Raw genomic sequence first — 3667 nt, 5'->3', positions numbered from 1 at the left:
TCCACTTAATACCTTTATTCTTGGAACCCCTGTAGCTATCTCAGAAAGATAACCCACTACTACTTGAGAATGGGGCATGGTGGGGTATTTGAGCCAATCACTAATTGAGTTATATTCATGGTAGTTATAAGGTTTTGCTGTAGGAATAGAAAAAGTAAAATATTTATTTAACTGTTTATTTTTATATTGTGTGCCTAGTTTGTGGAATGCAGGTAAATATTAAAATTTTTCTGTTTGTACATGGCTACAGTATCCATTTACGTCAGTGTTGTGTTTGGCTTATTAGTGCTAAGAGTGCCAGAACTTTTCTGTTACTTTTGAGTTGTATAGCTGATCACAGGTAGGCTTTAAGTAACATTGCAATGCTTTGCAGTGCAGCCCAGATGGCCGTTAATAAATAAGATTGTGCATTTCCCACAGTAGGAGTCAGAGGCTACAGTTTTAACATACCTGTAGCTTTCTAATGCTTCTAGGATGTTTGAAGTAAGACTTTCTTTTCCCCAAGTCACCGGCATGAGGTTTTCCAGTTCATTAAGATGTTTTCATCACTTTGTCTGGTTACATGGGTCAGAACAGAACAGAAGTAAATTAACCCCATGTTGTAACATGAAGACCCCTTCAGACATCAAGAGTCAAGAAGAAGCCTGAAATGCTTGGTCTACATTTTAGAGGTAAGATAACTAGATCTTAGCATTCCAAAGCCTCCATACAAACTAAACACCCTTCTTCAAATGAAATCACTCCATGGCCAAAATTGAGTTATTGCTTGAATAACCACCACCTGTCAGGGCAATTCAAACAGACAGCAACATAACATCTTTACATTTAAAAAACCAACAGCATGTGTGAGTGCATACCAATGTGGCCAGTTTCAAGTTGAATTCATCCCATTATAAGCAGCAGTTAAAGCACTGACTCCAAGAGGTGGCCAACTTGTCACATTCTGCATTGGCCGTGCAAAACTTTGTGGCTTTAACACTATCCTATCTACTGCTTAGTCTCAATTCTTCAGTTTGTCCTATGTCCCCATTCTATACTCAGCTTTTTAATTTGTTAGTGAGTTTCTGGGCCCCAGGGTAGCAAAGCTGAGTCTACAGGATCTCACTGTGCAAAAATGACTTGAGAAGGCCAAGGTGTAACCTCAAGATGTGGAGACAGATTTTTCTCATACGGTTTGTGGAAGCATTGCCTTTGACGTAGGGACCCACCACATACATTCGCTTTTGAGCTTATACCATTAAAAGACTAACTGGTTGGTCATATAACTTTTAGAAATGTGGGACTTTTAAAAAATGCTCCTGCTCTCTATGAATTAACAGCTTATATTAGAATCTATCTTGAATGCCAAATTCTTTTCTGGTTAAATGGACCCCTGTTGATAATGTAGATGAGGATGAAGATTTGTTTTCTTTTCATCACTTGAAAGGCTTTCTCCCAAACAAAGTGGTTGCAAGTAATCATCACCACCAGCAGTAGTTATTGAGAGCTCTCTTTGTGAGTTGTTAATCTACAGGACATCACTCACATCCTGCACACTGCTGTGGTGAGTAACAGAACTCGATTCCCAATAAATCACTTTATTCTACAGTCTATAACCTTAACTCCGTTAAACAAGCCTATCACGTGAACACATATGCTGTCATTACATGGTATTTATTAGACAAAATCTGAAGTGGTTGGTGATTATTGCATTGAAAAACTCTCACCTAATCATTTCCTCTCTCTGTGTCCCCCTCCTCATTTCATGTTAAATTGGTAATGAATATTCTTATGTATACAATGGGTAACTTCTACAAATCCATATTAAAATCTTTAACATGGTTATTACTATAAAATTATCAACAATATATGTATGTCAACATTTTATAGACAATTTTATATTTCTAGTAAGTTCATCATATAAAATCACCTCACTTGATTCCATGCCATAAACTGAGCATTATCTTTGAAGTAATCACAATTATGCATACACGATTGGGGCTGAAATATGGAAAAGTTAGTCCAAAAGCTGAAATGGGCAAAAGTGATGATATAGTTTCCATCTGTAACCATGAATTGGTAGGTCTCATGGTCATTTTATTTGTGACAACAGGTATTCACATTGCAGTTGCTCCGAACAATTGAGTTGAAATTTGGACAGGAATTCATGTCATCATGAAAAAAATAAGTTCTGGTAGAGTGGGCTGGTATTATTGAAAGACATAAAGGAAGCTAAGAAAGAAAGAAACAAGGGAGGGAAGGAGCAAATTGCATATCACCCATTCAGCATTTATCATGCATTGACTTGTTCTTGTTTTGGTTAATTACCTTTCTTTTCCTTTTTTTTTTTTTTTGAGTACTCAATATAAAAGCAAAAATAAAAACATTTTTATTAAAAAAAAAAAAGCCTACTACCCAGAATAGGAAATTATTAACTGCTGTACTTTGGATGTTTGTCCCCTGTAAATCTCATGTTGAAATTTAATACTCCGTGTGGCAGTGTTGGAAGGTGGGTATAGTAGCAGGAGTTTGGCTCATGGGGGCAGATTCCTCATGAATAGAATAATATCCTTTCTTAGGGGTGAGTGAATTCTCACGATTATTAGTTTCCAAGAAAGCTGGTTGTTAAAAAGAGCGTGGTACGCCTCACCCCTTGCATCCTCTCTTGCCATGTGATATTTATACATGCCAGCTTCTTTTTACCTTCCGCCATGAGAGAAAGCAGCCTGTGGCCCCTACCAAATACAATGGCCAATCTAAAACTTTTCCAGACATCAGAATAATGAGCCAAATAAATCTCTGCTCTTTATAAATTACCCAGCCTTAAGTATTCCTTTATAACACTAAACAGACTATGACTTTAACATTTTGCCATTCTTTTTTAAAAAATAAAGGAAATCAAATATTACAGGTAAAATTGAAGTAATCTTTATCCTCATCCAAAATTCCATTTTATTTTCTCCATCCACACACATATACTCTCTAGGGGCAACCAGCATAATGAGTATCCTTCCATTTCTTTTTTATTGTAACACATTTATATGCACATACATCTACCTACAAAGTATTTAGCATTTTTTTGTTTAAAACATTAACATAAATGCTATATACAACATCATCCTGCAACTTGCTTTTTTCACAAAAATCAATGAGAAATATCTAGTTCTATGAGGTACTGTTTTATGGTATTATGTTGTTTAAGAAAACACATTATTTCTCATTTTCCTCTTGATGGTGACTTAGGCAATTTTCATTTTTTCTTCATAACAAAGAGTGCTTTACTTTACTTGAATGAAAACACAAGAACAGGGATATTTGTCTGCTTTGTTTAATGATGTAATCCCAGCTCCAAACAGTGCCAGGAATAAAGCAGATATTTGATAAATGTGTATTGAATGAATGACACAATTATTGTACATGCTAACATTATTGTACATTCTTCCTGAAGTTTATGGGTGAGTACTTCTCTCTGGTATATACCAAGATAAAATACAATACATATTCGTACATGCTAAGGGTAAAATGGTAGGTTGTATGCAACTTGAGTTGCATTAAGTGCTGCTGCCTAATTATTCACCATAGAGGTTATATCAATTTATGCTCCCACCAGTATTCCCTGTACCTCACATTCTTACCAGCCTTTGGTACTATCTGATTTTTTTTATTTTTGAAATTTTGATGAATAGTA

The 3667-nt window shown here is 35.6% G+C and overlaps 1 annotated feature.

Moving 5' to 3' along the window:
• Positions 1151-1718: an enhancer, noted in NCBI's record as "NANOG hESC enhancer chrX:115506523-115507090 (GRCh37/hg19 assembly coordinates)". NCBI's record gives its function as "activates a minimal SCP1, AML or CMV promoter by ChIP-STARR-seq in naive H9 embryonic stem cells {active_cell/tissue: H9 hESC(naive)}" and the evidence as "EXISTENCE:reporter gene assay evidence [ECO:0000049][PMID:30033119]".

The sequence above is a fragment of the Homo sapiens genome, chromosome X (genome assembly GCF_000001405.40).
Source record: "Homo sapiens chromosome X, GRCh38.p14 Primary Assembly".
Taxonomy (NCBI): Eukaryota; Metazoa; Chordata; class Mammalia; order Primates; family Hominidae; genus Homo; species Homo sapiens.
The sequence above is the reverse complement of the archived record's forward strand: the minus strand, read 5'-3'. Positions and strand labels throughout refer to the sequence as shown.